The 19,649-nt window shown below is 40.7% G+C and overlaps 1 protein-coding gene across 35 annotated transcripts in view, besides 1 other annotated feature; it reads right to left on the reverse strand.

The window, feature by feature from the left end:
• MAP7 (microtubule associated protein 7) overlaps positions 1-19,649 on the reverse strand; it is a 207,689-nt gene that overhangs the window by 156,006 nt on the left and 32,034 nt on the right. The gene's annotated exons all lie outside the window — the stretch shown is intronic.
• Positions 10,238-10,438: a silencer, noted in NCBI's record as "peak6146 fragment used in MPRA reporter construct". NCBI's record gives its function as "represses an SCP1 promoter by STARR-seq MPRAs in K562 erythroleukemia cells {active_cell/tissue: K562}" and the evidence as "EXISTENCE:reporter gene assay evidence [ECO:0000049][PMID:32103011]".

Below are 19,649 nucleotides of genomic sequence, written 5' to 3' on the forward strand. Positions count from 1 at the left end.
TATATGGCAATGTGTGTGTGTGTGTGTGTGTGTGGAAAACCCAACGAAGTTGACTTAAATAATAAAGAAATTTATAGGCATTCACAACTGACAGGCCCAAAAGTAGAAAAGGCTTCAGTTTGATCTGAAAGTTCAGGAAGTCATTAGGATACTAGCTCCATTTCGCTGAGATTTTTTGGGTTTTGTTGAGACATAGTTTCACTCTGTCACCCAGACTGGAGTGCAGTGGCATGATTTCAGCTCACTGCAACCTCTGCCTTCCAGGTTCAAGAGATTCTCGTGCCTCTGCCCCCCAGGTAACCCCCAGGTAGCTGGGATTACAAGTACGCACCACTACGCCCTGCTAATTTTTGTATTATTAGTAGACATGGGGTTTCACCATGTTGGCCAGGCTGGTCTTGAACTCCTGACCTCAGGTGATCCGCCTGCCTTGGCCTCCCAAAGTGCTGGGATTACAGGCATAAGCCATCCTGTCCGGCCTGAGATTTCTTAGCTCTGGCCTCCTCTTTGGGCTAGCAGCCCTGAGGCTCTGTGACTTTTTCACTTCCAAGGAGAAAAAGAACCCACCCACCTCCTCTGAACACATGATTTACAAGTGCCAATAGTTTCATTTATTGTTCACAATCCTAACTAATATGGGGCTTCATGCGATAACCCCAAGGTAAGTACTGTTATCACCATTTTACAGGGTTTGAGAAAAACAAGACTCAGAGGTTAGGTAACGGTGCCTAGTTACACAGCTGATGACAGTAACAGCCTGAAGCCAATGCAGAGCCCTCCAATTCCACAACTGATGCCCTTGATCACTCCACTACTTATCTCTCCAGACAGAGAAAGAGCTAAGACAGGGGTCAACAAGCCTAATCTATAAAGTGTCAGACAGGAAATACTTTAGGCTTCCGGGCCACAAGTATGTTGTACATTCTTCTCTGTGTTTTGTTTTTACAAACCTTTTACAGTTTTAAAAAACCCTGAATGGCCAGGTGCAGTGGCTCACAGCTGTAATCCCAGGACTTTGGGAGGCCTAGGCAGGAGGATTGCTTGAGTCCAGGAGTTCCAGACCAGCCTGGCCGACATAGGGAGCTCTCATCTCTACAAAAATTAAAATGAGCTGGGCATGGTGGCACATGCCTATAGTCCTAGCTATTCAGGAGGCTGAAGCGGGAGAACTGCTTGAGCCTGGGAGGTCAAGCTGGCAGTGAGCCATGATCACACTACTGCACTCTAGCCTGGGTGACAGAGAGAGACCCTTTCTCAAAAACAAACAAACAAACAAAAACAGTTGAGTGGACTTTTGAGTCAGACAGACCTGTATTCTAGTTCAGACTCCAGCACTTCCTAGTTGTGTGATTCTGAGCAAGTTACTTAACCTCTTTGAGTTTCAATTTAGTCATATATAAAGGAAATTGTAGTAGCTGCCTTTATCATCTGATTATTGTGAGGATTAAAATTAAATTATCTATACAAAGTACCTGGCACATAGCAAGTGTTCAATAAATACTGGCAATTATTATAAACAATTATCCCAATAAAAATTTCAAATTCTACAGTTTTCGTTGGCATCCCAGGCCAGGAAAACTGTTGCTCACAGTCTCAACATTGATTCTTCAAATGGAATTTTCCTTCTCAATTCCTTCTTTATGGAACATACTAATATTTGACTTGTTTTTTAATTAATCTCTTAACATCTAAGTGCGTCTGTACACTTATGGAGGATCTGTCTCGCTGTTGCATAGAATTGCCCTAAGTTTAGTAAACATCTTTTCACTGATCTTGAATCACTTTGAAAGTAACTCTAAATAAATCAAATTCTTTTCAGGTTTTGTAGTAATGTTAGACATACTATCGTCCTCTAAACGTAGGAATGCTGACGTAGCAAAGTGTTGTACTTGTGGTTACACTAAGTGCATCTACCTGAATCCCAAAGGGATTTGAATGGGAAAAAGCAAACTTCTAACAGCTTCTTAAAAATCAGGTGTTTCAACATCTGCTTTGATTTATGAGTAATCCCATATTCCAGGTCTTAATTATTTCTCTAATTTTTTATTTTAAGAAGAGAAAAAGCTCATCTATTACAAAGCAGAATAAAAATATTTTTGTCACTGTCAGATAATGTAAGATTATTTGAAGAAAAATCTTTTACAGTATAACCATTAGTAGATTTTAAAGCAGAGCCTCTAATTTCCAAATCATTGGGAAGATGCACAGAAAAAGACGGAAAAAAAATACATCCACATGTCAACAGGAGTTTTCCAAGAATCTTATTATTGTGATTACCCTCATTGCAATGTAAATTTTATGTTTTACAAACTTTCTAAACATAATCACATGCTCCTTTTGAGAAAAGAAAAATAAAGAATAATATTATTTCCAAAGTAGAACTAAAAACCTGAAATGTTTCCCTTAATTCTCTTCCATGTTGAAACAGTTTGCCACATGTATTTATTTTAATTGACACTAATTCAGTAGCCAGAGAAGCAGAACAGTGACCAGTCACTATGAAGCTTCGGGCAACAGACCCCTGGAGGTCTGTTCCCTCATGAAAAGCACTCACTTCCTCTCCAGTTCTTATATTCTTATCACAGGGCCAGGAGGTGGCCTGGAGTCAGAGGGGCCTGAAAGCTGCTCCACCATTTGCTAGCTGTGTATATTTCTTGCTAGTTACTTCACCCTGGGGTTTAGGTATTACCTTGTGTAAAATGGGGTAAATACCTCCCTTAAGAGAACACCCTCATGGCTTCCACATGGTAAGTGCTCCACTCATGATGGTGGTTGTCATTTCTCTTACTAACTAAATATTATAATGCTGGAAATGGAAATTTTTTCAGATTTTCCCTTCCACTCCTGTCTCATTAATCTTATTTATCATTTATTTTACCCTAGTTATTTATCCAATTTTTATGCCCAGATGGCTTTTTTTATATATTGCACATGTCAAACTTAAGTTACGCAATGATCAGACCACAGCATGACAACTTTCATCGCACTCATCCTTCCAGAACAGAGAGAATAGACAGATCCACCATGGTTTGCTCACATGCAGCTCTCAGATAAGGCTCCAGATGAAGCCATTAAGTTCCCATCACAAATTTTCTCTTCTCCTCTACTCACTGGAACATCTGGAGTAGGAAGGGAGGATCACAGTCTGGGTGTGAGGCTGCAGAATAAGGAAAGATTCCTCCTGTGAATTCAGAGGGCCACAGGCAGCCATGGCTTCATGGACCAGAGCCTGGCATTCACAGAGGTAGTAGTATTTGCCACTAGATTCCAAACCAAGAACTAGAAAATGCTGAGATGCCTTTTTGTGCATTTTTCACCAACAGCCAAGTTAGATTTATAGATTTTTTATGTAGCAGGGGTCCAATTTTGACTTTAAAATTAAATACACCAGGGCTTGTCAAGGAATCTACCAAAAGCCATTTTAAAAGTGTAATTCATCCATTTGCAACAATAGATCCAGCTCATGGCTTTTGTACCAAGGAGCAGCAAATGAAGAATCTCTTAGGAAGTGCTCTGTGTGTGCACACACAAACGCATACACATGCTACATAATTTCCTAAAGTGGTATACACACATAGACATCCCACACAGAATTATTCCCTGGCCAGATAAGTATACTACATTCCTTTCTTTGTGATTCGTAATAAAATACTAAAGGCTCTTACAAGTTCAAAAGTAACCTGAATTAGAAACACTCTTTTGTTGGCACAGTCATTAAAGGCCTGCACTAGGAGTGCCTTGTGGAACCCCAGTATGGGAAACATAACTGCAAAGCATAAGTAGTGGAGTGGCACACAGAGCACCGGCAGGAAGATGCTTCCAGGATGAATGTGGCATTCCTGCAGAGGACTGGTTTGTGAGCACATCAGATACCCCTGGGAAATGTCCAAAATTTGGGGAGCGATATTTTGTAGGGGCTGATGGGTCCTGAATCAATGGGTTATAACAAAGACCAAGGTAGTTTTAAATTATAAGTACAATAATAATTACACTTAGTTTGATATGCTTACTCTAAGCAGAGCTCTCCTCTCAGGAATTCAGACTGCACTCTTATAATTGATATGAATAGAGTGCACAGAATACTGATTTTTTTTTTCCCAGCAAAGTAACTTTCTTTTTCCAGGAAAATAAGGCAGCCATACAATGCATCATGATATATGGCTGAGCTGAAAGCAAAACTGAGGTTGCCAGACCAGCAGTCTGCAAGTCTAAGCTTCCTCTTGTTAACTAAAATAGACTCTACAATAATAAAAGAAAACCACAGTCATGGATAGCTAACTCCCTACCTTTTAATTATTCATGCTAATGCCTTGCATGTGTAGAGTTTATACTTTACAAATGCTAATCAGGCCCAAGGACTACATGAATAATGGAAACCCAGAAATAATTACCAAATCTAATCTTAAGCAAAGTTTTCAATACATGCTCTCCTCAGAAATCTTCCCCAAATGGTGCCTTCTCCCTTTCCCTCCTTTATTCTGAAAGAAGGCGGCCAACTTAACTTTTTATGTACTTTGCTTTTTCTCTGCCCACCTAATAGTATTGATGCTGAATGACCAAAAGGAAGTGAAGCAAGAAGAAGAGAAAACCAAAGGCTCAGGTCTGTCAACTCGATGTGGTTCCAAAAGAAGAATCTGTCCAAACAAGGATTTCTGAGGGGGAAAAAAAAAGGGGGGTGGGGGAAGAAGAATCTGAAACCTGGCTCTAACCCTGACCCGCCATGTCAATGGAGATGATAATTGCCCTTCCCACAGATCCGCACAGTGCTGGTACCATCTGTTTCCTCCCCCAGTGACTCGGCATACCTTAGGAAAACAATTAGCTTTATACCAGATTACTGATGCAGCAATTTCTCTTGCCTTCCCCTAAGGGGAAAAAAACCACCTAAACAGTGCTGTCCTTTCCATTATTTAAAAAAATCTACATTAACCAATGTTTAATTTTGCTAATTAAAACTAAATACCATTTTATAGCCATCCAATTCTCAAAAATCAAAGTGTCTTACTAAATCAAGTGGAAGTGAATATGGGGAAATAGGGACTGCCATGAGCTGCAGGCAGAAGTATGCTGATCAAACTATTTCGGAAGGCAATTTGGCATGTGAAAATGCACAGCACATACCACTTCTAGGAATATATATTTGCATATATGCTAAAAGAGAGCACTATAAAAAGTTACTGCAGCACCGATTTGTAGTCACAACAAAGTGAAAAAACAAAACTATAATCAACTTCTCCATTCATCAGTTGGGGAATAGTAAATAAACTGCAGTAAAGTCACACTACAGAATTCTAGGCAGCACTTAAACTATATTTATCACTTGGGATGGGTATTTTAAAACTTCAGTAGGGGAAGTAAAAGTAGCAAACTGATATGTTAATATGACATAATTTATGTCAATTTAAGCACACAAATGATGTATTATTTATAGATATATATATGTGGTAAAATTACAGAAATGGGCTGCAAGGGTACATATTATCTCCCTGGGAAGGGAAATAGGGAAACAGGGAGAGAGATGGAAGGAGGTGAGACTACGGAAGGATACACAGGAAATGACGAAATTAGCCATAATAATTTGTATTCCCATAAATACATCGTTTTTTGTTTTGTTTTTTTTTTGGGGGGGAACAGAGCCTCACTCTGTCACCCAGGCTGGAGTGCAGTGGTGCAATCTTGGCTCACTGCAACCTCCACGTCCTGGGTTCTGGCAATTCTCTTGCCTCAGCCTCCCAAGTAGCTGGGACTACAGGTGGGTGCCACCACAGCAAATGTTTGTATTTTTAGTAGAGACAGGGGTTCACCATGTTGGCCAGGCTCATCTCGAACTCCTGGCCCAAGCTATCCACCCGCCTTGGCCTCCCAAAGTGCTGGGATTACAGGCCTGAGCCACCGCATCCAGCCCATTTCCCATAAATATATCTTTTAATATAAAATATTTACCTTTAAAAAAATTTTTTAGACATAGTCTCGCTCTGTTGCCCAAGCTGGAGTGCAGTGGCACAATCTCGGCCCAATGCAACCTCTGCCTCCCAGGTTCAAGCGATTCTTGTGCCCAGCCTCCCAAGGAGCTGGGATTACAGGCATGTGCCACAACGCCTGGCTAATTTTTGTATTTTTAGAAGAGATGAGGTTTTGCCATGTTGGCCAGTCTGGTCTCAAAATACTGACCTCAGGTGATCCTCCCACCTTGGCTTCCCAAAGTGCTGGGATTACAGGCATGAGCCACCATGCCCAGCCAAAATATTTAAAATGTGTTTAAAAGGTCTGGGTCCTGGGGTCCATGAGTATTTATTATGTTGGCCCTCTGCTTCTTTTGTTTTTTAAAATAATTTTGCAAACATTGTAACTCCCTTTTTTAGGGCCAAACAGACGATAAAATAAAAGACTGAGAAAGGCATATAATCTTACAACAAGGTATAAGGTGAAATAAGCTGAGTTCGCAAGCCATAAAATAGTATCTTCCTGAACACTGTTTTAAGAACTCAATTGTATATTACATTTCCATGTAATGTGTGTGTGTGTGTGTGTGTGTGTGTATATATATATATATATATATATATATATATATATAGTAAAATTACAGAAATTGGCTGCAAGGGTACATATTCTCCCCCTCGGGAGGGAGATAGGGAGAGGAAGGGAGAGAGAGATGAACATTAGCCATAATGTCCTAATTTTAGTGTCCCCATTTTTGTGTGTCTGATGTAAAAGTACTGTTTGCCTCACAATGCTATTATAAAAGTGGTTGTCAAGGATAATAAGTTCCAATAAAAATATTTGCTATAGCTAGACAATCGCTAGGCATCTGAGATTATTTTCAAGTTATAAAAAGTCAGAAGTAAAAGAAAAATGATGAGAACACAGGGACACATCGAAAGGAACAGCAGACACTGGGGCCTACCGGAGGACAAGAGGATCCAGAAACATATGAGTACCAGACTTAATACCTGGGTGATGAAATAATCTGTACAACACCCGTGACACAAGTTTACCTCTATAGCAAATCTGCACATGTACCCCTGAACTTAAAAGTTTGAAAAAAATAAAAATCTAATAATTTATATATAGGACTTATTACTGGCAAGTAGCAAAAATAAGGAATTTTAAATGTAGTTCATGTAACCACAGTATCTTTTCCACTGTGGGAAAAACAACCATTAGACATTGCCTGTGAAGTGTATGTTGATATAATCTTTTCCTTCAGAAAACCTTTATAAACATGCTGATGTAACAAAACCAAAGTGATTGGTAAAGAAGATTTAATAATGTATTTAAGCCTTGAGAAATTTCTTTGTTGTTTGTCAAATCAACAACAAAAAAATCTGTGTTTTTAATTGAATGTAATGTTAAAGAAAATTCTTGAGTAAATGCCAATTTATGTTTTCCTAGAAAACCTTTTCTTAACAGCCTCATCTCAATTCAACACATCTTGCCACTGATATACTGTATAATATAACAATATCAAATAGGGAGAATTGAATATACATAAGATGACTGTGGTAATCAAAGAAAACTTGTAACAAGTTAATCCCTACCTAAAGACATGCATAATCATTACTGTGGATGGTATTAGGTTTCACTGAGAACGAAGAGGTCACTAAATAGCTGGAACTAATAATACTTTACACAAACCACACTTGAAAGTCACCTGTAGGGAAGGGAAGAGAAATGTGGGGAGGGAAGGGCATTGGTAGGAGTTTTTAGAGGACACAATCCACAGTTTTAGATAATTCAGGATATTTTAAGGTTTATAAGCTTTGGGAAATTTCTGGAAACAATAAAAGATTATTTATCAGGGGGCATCTGCTCTTCCAGCCTCAGTACTGGGAGTTGGCCCAGGTTGATACTGGAACTGGTCCAGCCTAGGCAGGTCAACAGACTCCTTTTCACTGGAAAGGTTTCCTTCACTGACGTGCAAGAACACTGGATAAATTCCTTTCACCTCCAAAAAGGAATGAAGCTTGAGGCGGGTGTTAAAGCAAACTAAATATGGCCTGAAGACTTCGTTCTATATTTGAGTCCTTGTGGACAAACCGTAACCTAGCTTAATAGGCAGACAAAATTGAAAACCTAACTAGTAATATGCACCTGTAACAATAGCTGAGTGTTGGCCAATCCCAGCGGCCATACTTCAATCACTCATAGACTGCTGAGTGTTCAAACTGCATTCAAATAAGGCAAACACCAAGCTGTAACCAATCGCACTGTTTCTGAACCTCACTTCCAATTCCTGTAAATCACTTTACCCCTTTTGTCCATAAACTTGTTCTGACCACGAGGCACCCCGGAGTCTCCAAATCTGCTGTGATTCTGGACGCTGCCTGATTCGTGAATCGTTTCTGTTTTTTTGCTCAATTAAACTCCACTGAATTTAACTTTTCTGGAGTTTTCTTTTAACAGGGGCTATAAGAAAAGTAATCCCTGCTCCCCAGAAAAGTGGGGGAAGGCAGCGTTTTGAGCTGAAATGTACTTAAGCGGGGGTCAATCTCAATGGAGGGCTTAAAGGATACCTCATGTGAATTTAATGAGTCTTCACATCCCACAGTTCCCTCTCTGGACTCCTGGAGGCCAAGCAGAAGATCCAGAAAACAAGAGAGAAGGACGGGAAGGGGGGTAGTAACCTGCCTAAAGTCAGAATTACTGATTTCAATTTTCTCATAGACCAGAAACAAATTTCTTTTAACTTGTTTCAAGTCTTCCAAAATTTAGACATCCTTCCAGGAGAAGATTCTCAAAAAAAAAAAAAAAAAGAAAAAACAAATTTTATTTTTTAAAGAATTCTTTTCTTTTTAAATTTAAGAGAAGACATTTAAAAAAACACAAAATTTAGACATCTTAGCAGAAATGTTGGTTTCTTAAAACTACTAAGATAAAGCTGTTGAACTAAGAAAGCTTTCCAAATATTAATAACATTCGTTACCATTTACAGGCTGCTTGATTAGTGCCTGATTAGGCACAGTTACAAGCATGTTTTAGATATTATTCTACCTAATCTTTAATAACCCTATGAGATAGGTGTCACTACTAGCCCTGATTTATGGATAAAGCAAGTGAGGCACAGAAATTGTAAGTACTTTGCCTGAAGCATATGTTTAGGAGGAGGCAAAAATGGGCTCTGGACTGGCTCCAGGGTCCAAGTTTTAACTCCTACACCGTATGGCCTCCAAGACACCACAACACACTGCAAGCTCCCTCAATTCTACAAATTCTTTGACACACATTCCAATTTAAAATTTCAGAGCTACTCCTAGTACATTAAAACCTAACTTGCCCAATTTGCCTGTTAGAAAGTTGGTTTTCAGGCTGGGTGCAGTGGTGAACGCCTGTAATGCCAGCACTTTGGGAGGCTGAGGTGGGTGAATCGCTTCAGCTCAGGAGTTTGAGACCAGCCTGGGCAACATGGTGAAACTCCATCTTTGCAAAGACACGAAAATTAGCGGGGCATGGTGGCGCATGCCTGTACTCTCAGCTACATGGGAGGCTGAGGTGGGAGGATCGCTTGAGCCTGGGGAAGTGGAGGCTGCAGTAAGCCAAGATCACACGACTGCTCTCCAACCTGGGCAACAGAGTGAGACACTGTCTCAAAAAAAAAAGAAAGAAAAGAAAATTTGGTTTTCATCAGAGACCACAGTAACAAAGATTTGTCACATCATTATGAGTCCTGAAGCATCGCTGTGATTCTCAGAAGAGATCTTCATCAGCATCAGGATAAAGAAATTAATTTTTTTATCAAATGTTAACTTAACAGAGATCAAGCATTCTGAATTTGGACACCAATACTTTTTGTGAGCCTAACTGTCCCAAGCTTTGTGTTGATATACCTGCTATGACTTCATACAGGGATGCCTGCTTCTCTTCAGTCAACTTCTAAGTCTCATAAACTGTAAGTTTCAGGGTCCCAATAAAAGAAAAGATAATGCTAAATGCCATAGACTGGTCCAGGATGAACCATCAGTCAAAACCCAGGATGGTTTTCCTTTTTTTGTTTTAATGTTCACACTAAAATATCACAGTAAAGTTTGAAGATAAAATACACTAAAGAGAAACTGAAATAGGAAATTTACCTACTCATTAAAGTGTATCTAATCTTGGAAGAAACCAAATCCGGGATGCTGGGAATGACTACATAGGTTTCACTACAAATGATTATGACAGTAAGTGTCAGAAGAATGGAATTCAAGAAACACCATTTAATACCATTTAAGTCCTGAATTAAAGCTCTGCTTTCTAAACACATCACCTGAAATAGTAATGGACTCATTCTTTAACTCTGTTCTCCTAAAGTAAAAAGATATAGACCAGTAATTATATTAACTCTCTCATGAAGCATCTGTAGTTATAATGGCTCACAATAAATAACCAAGAAATCCTCAGATGGGGCTGGAGCATTCAATTTGCTCCTCTTGATAATGCTTCACCAAAAAACTATGTCACTAGCCACATGACTGCAATTACCTTTGACACTCAGGATTTAGTGAAATCCAGTGTCAGTGGCCAACAGTCCTTTTTAAACATTAACCTCTTCCTTCTTCAAAATCATATCAAATGAAAACAGAAGTTCCTCATTCTTCTCTTTCCTGTTGAACTTTAAATTAGAATAATACAGGCTATATGTCTTTCCACCTATTTTCTCCCTCTAGTCAAGAGAGTAAATTATGATGTAGAAGCTACTTATTTTTTTAAGTTTTTTTGTAAAGATGCAGTCTTGCTATGTTGCCCAGGCTGGTTTCAAACTCTTTGCCTCAAGTAATCCTCCCACCTGGGCCTCCCAAAGTGCTAGGATTACAGGCATGTGTCACTGTACCCAGTTTCGGTTTTTGTTTTTGTTTTTTTTGAGACAGGGTCTCATTCTGTTGCACAGGCTGGAGTGCAGTGGCATGATTATAGCTCACTGCAGCCTCAATCTCCCAGACTCAAGCAATCCTTTCACCTCAGCCTTCTGAGTTAGCTGGGAATACATACATGCACCACCATGCTGGGCTATTTTTTAATTTTGCAGAGATGGAGTATCACGATGTTGCCCACGCTGGTGTTGAACTCCTGGGCTCAAGAGGTCCTCCTGCCTCTGCTTCCCAAAGCATTGGATTACAGGCGTGAGCTATGGTGCCCTGCCTGGAAGCTAATTTAAAACATCCTCAATATTCATAGCAAATATTAGATGTTAAGATTGAGGTATATGCTGGGCGTGGTGGCTCATGCCTGTAATCCCAGCTCTTTGGGAGGCCGAGGCAGGTGGATCACCTGAGGTCAGGAGTTCGAGACCAGCCTGAGTAATATGGTGAAACCCTGTCTCTACTAAGAATACAAAAATTAGCTAGGTGTGGTGGCGTGTGCCTGTAGTCCCTGCCACTCGGGAGGCTGAGACAGGAGAATTGCTTGAACACAGGAGGTGGAGGTTGCAGTGAGCCAAGATCGTGCCACTGTACTTCCAGCCTGGGCAAAAGAGTGACATACAGTAGACAAAATGGGGTGAGCATCTCTGTGATGTGATTTGACAACCGGCTAGCAGCAAATTGGGCTCAGCTGATGGTGAGAGGATAAGAAAGTAGAAACGACCCACACAGCTGGTTTTTAGGAGTCTCACAGTAACACTCCACAGACCTAAAGAAACAGGAGGCTATGAGGGGACACTCCAGCCTGCAAGGAAGGCCCAGGCATCATTGCAAGTGCATCTTTGAAATGGTTACCCGTGAGTTCCGGGCTTGACAAAACACCAGTGAGTGGGAAGGAGGACTCATAACTGTGAGAACACAGGGGGTTCAGAAGCCTGGGGGTGGTGGAGAGGATGAAGGTTCAGAAGGTGTGAGGCTTTTCTTCAGGTAGGAGGATGAGCTCACACACGGCAGTCCACCCTCATCGCTGGTTTTGCTTTCTGCATTCTGAGTTACCTGCAGTCAACTACAGTCTGAAAATAGGTGAGTACAACACAGTAAGATATTTTGGGAGCGACCATACTCATATAACTTTTATTATGGTATATTGCTATATTTTATTATTGTTATTAATCTCTGTGTCTAATTTATAAATTAAACTGTATCACAGGTATGTATAGAAAAAACATAGTATATACATATAGGGGTTGGTACCATCTGAAGTTTCAGGCATCGACTGAGGCTCCTAGAAGGACAAGCGGAAGACTACTGCGTATGGAAACATCTAGCATAGGGTAGGGAGCAAATCATTGTTTGCTGAATCTGAAGTCTGTGGGTACCTAGGGGAATTTCTGAGTTCATGATATCGTAGGTGGTGTGGAAACAAGTCCCAGCATAAACCCACACAGCTGGCTGAATGAAGTTCAAGTGAAGGTCATGCAGCATCAAAGTAGATGTGTGTCACTGAAACTTATGGCAGTGGAGTGAGAATAATTTTGAAATTACTTAGATTGTGAGAAAATCTGGCTGATGATTAGAAGTGTTGATATAAGAGGTCAGTTTGGAGTTCCACTCAAAATTCATACTAATTTTAATGTTATGGTATTCTAAACTACTAGATGGGTAAGGGGAAGTTATAGGATTCTGAACAATACCATTAAGAATTAGGATAGGATTTTCTACTGTGGTGTCACAGAAGAATCAGAGCTAGCAAATTCATAAAAAGAAAATTTGATTCCCCAAGCCCAGGGTAAAAATCCAGAGTGCTGAGGTTTTGAATCCTAATATCTCAGTTGCCACTTTGCATCTTTACAGTGCTGAATGAAAGGTGTGCACCAGGAACTGTCTACCCACAAAGAACCTGTTTTTCTGGGCCTTAAAAAAAAAGGCAGTGCAGAGATAGTATTATAAAAGAGAAGCATAAAAGGAAATTTGTGAGGGTGGCTTAATGAGATGCACTGAATAGGTGGAGAACTAGAGGGAATGTGGCTAGGTACACAGTGGACTTTGTTAAATTAGCAGCAGCTCCAGTTCACTTTCCACGATATTTCCTAATCCACAGAGCAGCAGGTGGGAGTGAGGGACACTATTAGTCAAGAGCTCAGTGGGAGTTTAAATCACTAAGGATTTGTGTATGCAAGTTCTCCCTGGCTTACACTTAATATGGTCATGATAACTGAATTTCAACTGTGCAAAAGGAAAGAAAATACTTATAATAATTCAAACACGGCTGTAATGAGGATATGCCACAAACACGAAATGAACGTTTTATAATAAGCTCTGGCAGTTCAAGGAAAAATGATGGTAGAAGGTGCTTCTGGAATGGTCTAGCTCTAGAATTTGATCCAAGTAAGCCACTGCAGACTGTCCAAGCCAATGTCCTAGCCGAAAACAAACAAGTCATCCCTGCATAAAGGCTAGTGGACAAAGGTCGTTAATACAAAATTCACCGTCATTATCACTAGGCAGGGTGGTGATTGATCTGATATCTCCAGGCCTTTGCTAGATTCAAAACAAAGTCCTGAACCCTGGAATGTTTAAAGGCCTAGACAGACTACCTCTCCAGCTATGCTGTCTCATTCTCTGGCTGGCAGGGCCAGAGTGTGTTGCCTCCAATCAGTTATCTTATGAGGAACCAGATTTGGGCTTCTGCCATCTGGCTTAGCACCCATGGACTAAGAGGTCTTGAATCAGCACCTAGAAATAATTTCCTTCAAGTTCTACAGAACAGCTCAACAGAAAAAGAGAACTGTTTCAGTGGAAAAAGTAAATACCAAAGTTTCTAAGACTATTACGGATGTAAAAAATTGTTGGATGTATTCTTCTCAACTTTTTATCTAGGGTGTGACACCTGTTGATGTAATGAAGATTTAGGAAGCCTCAACAAGGCATACCTCAGAATACTGCCAGTTCAGTTCCAGACCACCCCAATAAAGCAAATATTGCAATAAAGCAAGTCACACACATTTTTTGGTTTCACAGTGCATACAAAAGTTGTGTTTTCGTTACGCTGTAGTCTATTAAGTGTGCAACATTATGTCCCAAAACAGTGTACATAACTTCATTAAAAACTACTTGATTGCTAAAAAATGCGAAGAATCATTGGAGCCTTTAGTGAGTTGTAATCTTTTTGGTGGTGGAGGGTCTTGCTTCCATGTTGATGGCTGCTGACTGATAAGGATAGTAGTCACTGAAGGCTGGGGTGCTGCGGCAATTTCTTCCCTTTTTTTTTTTTTTTGAAAGGGTCTCACTCTGTTGCCCAGGCTGCAGTGCAGTAGCACAACCACAGGTCACTGCAGTCTTGACCTCTCAGGCTCAAGCAATCCTTCTGCATCAGCCTCTCAAGTTGCTAGGACTATAGGCTTGTGATACCACACCAAGCTAGGTTTTGTTTTGTTTTGTTTTGTTTTTGGTAGAGGCAGGTTCTCACTCTGTTGCCCGGTCTGGTCTCAAACTCCTGGGTTCAAATGATCCTCCTGCCTCTGCCTCTCAAAGCACTGGGATTATAGGCATGAGCCACTGCACCCAGCTACAATTTCTTAAAGTAAGATAGCAATGAAATTTGCCAAGTCCATGAACTCTTCCTTTCATGAAAGACTTCTCTGTTGTATGCGATGTTGTGTGATAGCATTTCATCCACAGGACTTTTTTCAAAAATGGACTCTATCCTCTCAAACCCTGCTGCTGCTTTATCAACTAAGCTTATGTAATATTCTAAATCCTTTGTTGCCATTTCAACAATGTTCACAGCGTCTTCACCGTAAGTAGATTCCATCTCAAGAAACCACTTACTTTGTTCATCCATAAGAAGAAACTAATCTGTTCAAGTTTTATCATGGAATCGCAGCAATTCAGTCACATCTTCAGGCTCTACTTCTAATTCTAGTTCTCTTGCCATTTCCACCACATCTGCAGTTACTTCCTCTACTGAAGTCTTAAACCCCTCAAAGTCATTCATGAAGGTTGGGGTCAACTGCTTACAAACACCTGTTAATGTTGATATTTTGAGTTTTGTATGGTAGATGCACCTGACAGTGATAATGCGACCTGAGTATACCCTGAGAATGACCCCGTATGGCAGAGCACCTCAATGTGTACTCAGAAGTGGCCAACCCAGAGATCCATTCCTTGTCTATGAGGAACACCTGAGCCCCAGACGCATCCTGTGGAACATGGGCCATACAGGGGATCACGGCCCATTGTTTTGGGTTAAATGAGGTTTGCCAGGTGGAAGTTGCTAGGGGGAGGGTGTTAAGTGAAAATGTTATATAAATTGCATGTGTTTTGCAAGTGGTGGTGGTGGTTTTGCCCAGTCTGCCACCACTGGACTCTCTCACCTGTACGTAAGTCCCCAGTAAAACCCATGTCTCATTCGCTGGCTCTAGGTCTCTTCTTCAGCCTCTTGAACCTGGTGCCATCCCCGCTGGAGTCAATAGGGGTTTGGCACACCAACCTCCCTCCATGCATCATAAATGTTCTTAATGGCATCTGCAATGGTGAATCCTTTCCAGAAGGTTTTCAATTTTCTTTGCCCAGATCCATCAGAGGAATCACTACCTATGGCAGCCATAACCTTACAAAATATATTTCTTAAGTGATAAGACTTGAAAGTCAAAATTATTCCTTGATCCATGGACTGAAAAATGGATGTTGTGATGGCAGGCATGAAAACAACATTAACCTCCTTGTGGCCGGGTGCAGTGGCTCATGCCTGTAATCCCAGCACGTTGGGAGGCCAAGGCAAGCAGATCACCTGAGGTCAGGAGTTTGAGACCAGCCTGGCCAACATGGCGAAACCCTGTCTCCACTAAAAATACAAAAAGTTAGCCAGGTGTGGTGGTGTACACCTGTAATCCCAGCTTCTTGGGAGGCTGAGGCAGGAGAATAGCTTGAACCCAGGAGGCAGAGGTTACAGTGAGCTGAGATCACAGCACTCCAGCCTGGGTGACAGAGCAAGACTCTGTCTCAAAAAAAAAAAAAAAAAAAAAAAAAAAGAAAACAACATTAACCTCTTTTGTCCATCTCCATCAGGGTGACCTGGTACATTGTCAATGAGCAGTAATATTTTGAAAGAAAACTTTTTTTCTGAGCAGTGGGTCTCAATAGCGGGCTTAAAATAGTCAGTACACCATGCTATAAACAGACGTGCTGTCATCCAGGCTTTGTTGTTCCACTGACAGAGTGCACACAGAGTAGATTTAGCATAATTCTTAAGGGCCTTAGAATTTTCAGAATGGCAAATGAGCATTGGCTTCAACTCCAAGTCAATGATTGCAATGACTCAGCTGCATTATCCCCTAACAAGAGATTCAGCCTGTTCTTCGAAGCCAGGCACTGACTTTGACTCTCTGTCTATCAACGTCCTAGATGGCATCTTCTTCCAACAGAAGGCTGTTTCATCTCCATTGAAACTCTGTTGTTTAGTGAACTCACCTTCATCATTACCTTAGCAAGATCTGGATAACTTGCTGCAGCTTCCCCATCAGCATTTGCTGCTTCACCTTGTGCTTTTATGTTATGGAGACACTTTCTTTCCTTAAACCTCATGACCATCCTCTGCTAGTTTCAAACTTTTTTTCTGCAGTTCCCTCACCTCTCAGCCTTCATAAAATTGAAGAGAGTTAGGGTCCTTGTTCTGGATTAAGCTTTGGCTTAAGAGAACGTGTGGCTGGTTTGATCTTCTATCCAGACCACTCAAATCTTCTTTGTATCAGCATTCAGGCTGTTTCGCTTTCTTATCATTTGTGTTTACCATGGTAGCACTTTTTGCTTCCTTTAAGAACTTTTCCTCTGCATTCACATCTTGGCTGTTTGGCGCAAGAGGCCTAGCTCTCAGCCTATCTAGGCTTTCAACATGCCTTCCCTCACTAGGCTTAATCATTTCTAGCTTTTGATTTAAAGTGAGAGGCATGTAATTCTTCACTTGAGCACTTAGATTAGGGGCCATTGTAAGGTTATTAGTTAACTTCATTTCAAAATTGTCATGTCTCAAAGAATAGGGAGGCCTGAGGAGAGGGAGAGAGACAGAAATGGCTGGGTTGGTGGAGTAGTCAGAACACACACAATATTTGTTAAGTTTGCTATCTTATGTGGGCATGGTTTGTAGCATCCCAAAACAATTACAATAGTGACATCAAAGATCACCCATCACAGATTACCATAACAGATAGAATAACAATGAAAAAGTTTGAAATATTGCAAGAATTACCAATATGTGATGCAGAGATGAGAAGTAGGCACATGCTATTGGAAAAATGGCGCCAACAGACTTCCTTGATATAGGGTTGCCACAAACCTTCAATTTGTAAAAAAAATGCAGTATCCATGAAGCACAATAAAAGAAAGTACGTGCATACTAGACTCTGTATTAGTTGCTGGGGGCACAGTGTGAATCTGACAGACATATTCATTGCTTTCTGCAAGCTTCGTCTAGTTGAGGAGACAGACAATAAACGACTCAGCAAACACTTAATACACAATTTGCCTGGAGTAAGAAAGGGCCTAGAATCTGAGACTAGCTTGGTCTGGGGACATCCTTAGGGAAATGACAATTTTTTTTTTTTTTGAGACAAGGTCTCACTCTGCTGCCTAGGCTAGAGTATAGTGCTACGATCATGGCTCACTGCAGCCTCGACCTCCTTGGGCTCAGGGGATTCTCCCACCTCAGCCTCCGGAGTAGCTGAGACCACAGGTGCACACCACCACACCTGGTTAATTTTTGTATTTTTTGTAGAGACGGGGTCTCTGTTGCCAGGGCTGTTCTTGAACTCCTGGGCTCAAATGATCCTCCCACCTTGGCCTCCCAAAGCACTGGGATTACAGGCATAAGCCACCATGCCTGGCCAAGGAAATGACATTTAAACTGAAGGACAAGTAGGTGTTGACCAGGGAGAGTGAAGTGGAGAGAGGAGAAGCAGCAGAAGTACATACCAGGTAGAGGGAAGAGCTCCAAGCGAGACAGTATCTACTTCACCAGGACACAGATCCGCTGGCATATATATGTTCAATTATAGCCGCAAATAACATTTAATTTGGTGCTTTCTCCATCGTAAGTGTTCACAGCACTTACTTCTGAGTGACTAGAGAACAAATCAAGACTAGCACAGAGAAACAAGAAGTATTGAAAGAAAAGATGGCTAACCAAACTTAGAATAAGAAGTCTTGGTGCTGAAAATAAGTATGTGAAAATAAGCCTGCAAAAATAAGCCTGGATACATTTGGCATCCCCAGTGTAAGCATCCATAATCTCAACCACTGGCAGAAACCTGTCCATTAGCATAGGACATTGCCATCAAGCAACTCACATACATGCACACGAGCGCACATGCACACCCCACATCAGAAGGAAAAAAAAACCCTTGCAAAAAAAAAAAAATCCTTTTGAATTGGCTTTTAAAATGGCAGATGATCACTGCTACTGTTCCCTGATTAAGGCAGATCAGAGTTTTCCATTAATCCCAAGGAATAACAGGTACACTCCCTTAATCATATTTAAAATAACAAGTGAGGTGATCTGACATTATGGCAATTTATTTCCTTCATCTAACACAACAAAATTACAGGGTACTGCATGAGCAATCTACCTGGCAGCTAGGACTTCTGATTCACATGAACAAACACAGAACAAAGATCCAGTCACATATGCCTATGGTAGGAAAGTGACTAAAACAACACAAGAAAGAAGGCAGCCTTCCTAGAAATTTTTACTCACAAGTTAAGGAAAGAGATTAGGGAAAATATCTCTATAAAAAGAGACTGGCTAAGGTTTGGCACAGACAAGCATGATGGTCTTTCCACCAGGCCATTCTCCCAACAGAACATGTCAGTAGAAGTTATCAGAAAATGTGAGACATTTGGTTATAAATTACCAATATTATAATTGTCACATAATCAGCTCCAATTATTTTCCAGAGAATAAGCTAAGTGCTTGTGTATTCTCTCTAATACCCGCCAGCACCTGTGAGCATGATTTTATTCATTTCATTTCACAGATGGGAATCTGAGGCTTAGAAAGTTTAAATATTAATAACAGTAATGTGCATATTTCCATATGTAGCACTTTTTCTATCACTTTTTTCTAAGCACTTTTTTCACAGTTTCTCACACCAAATATAGCCTGGATTTCTAATAACTGTGGCAAACTCTGACCTGTACCACTGACTACTAGTGAACGTGGTGAAACTTTCCTAGTATCCTGTTTTCCCACTATGTAAACTGATATCCCTGATAAGGGCTGGTTCTGAATTTCTATAGTTCTAAATCGGGGCTCAGAGGCGACAACTGGTTTGTAAGGGGGTAACTTCTCTTAAAGTTGCATTTTTACTTAGATCTTAAGCTACATTATTTGGGAAGTTTTTAAAAGGGGCTAATAGAGATTCCAACTCTCTTCCCTCCTGCCCAACTCCAAGACACCTCTTGGTCATGCACTCAGCTGGTGACCTTGAAAGCAATCCTATTAGGAGTATGGAGGTGGCTCGAGCCTCCATACTGTTGTTCCAATAATGGTTTTAGAATGACAGGTTCTGCTGAATCTTCGTATTTTAATATCTTTTTACTACTTTATTAGGCCTGCAACTTTAATTTAGAATGAATCTAGTCCCCCAAACCATATATATTCAAGATCAAAACTGTTAGGATAATTTTTCTGGGTCTATACTCCTGAACTTCATTCCCACTCCACACTGGACCTGGGATTGTAAATTCTTTGGAATCTAGAAAGATTATATGAGAATTTCCTTACTAACAAACCATTGCTGGGCAGATAGCCTGAAAAAC

Source organism: Homo sapiens, chromosome 6 (assembly GCF_000001405.40).
Source record: "Homo sapiens chromosome 6, GRCh38.p14 Primary Assembly".
NCBI classification, from domain to species: Eukaryota; Metazoa; Chordata; class Mammalia; order Primates; family Hominidae; genus Homo; species Homo sapiens.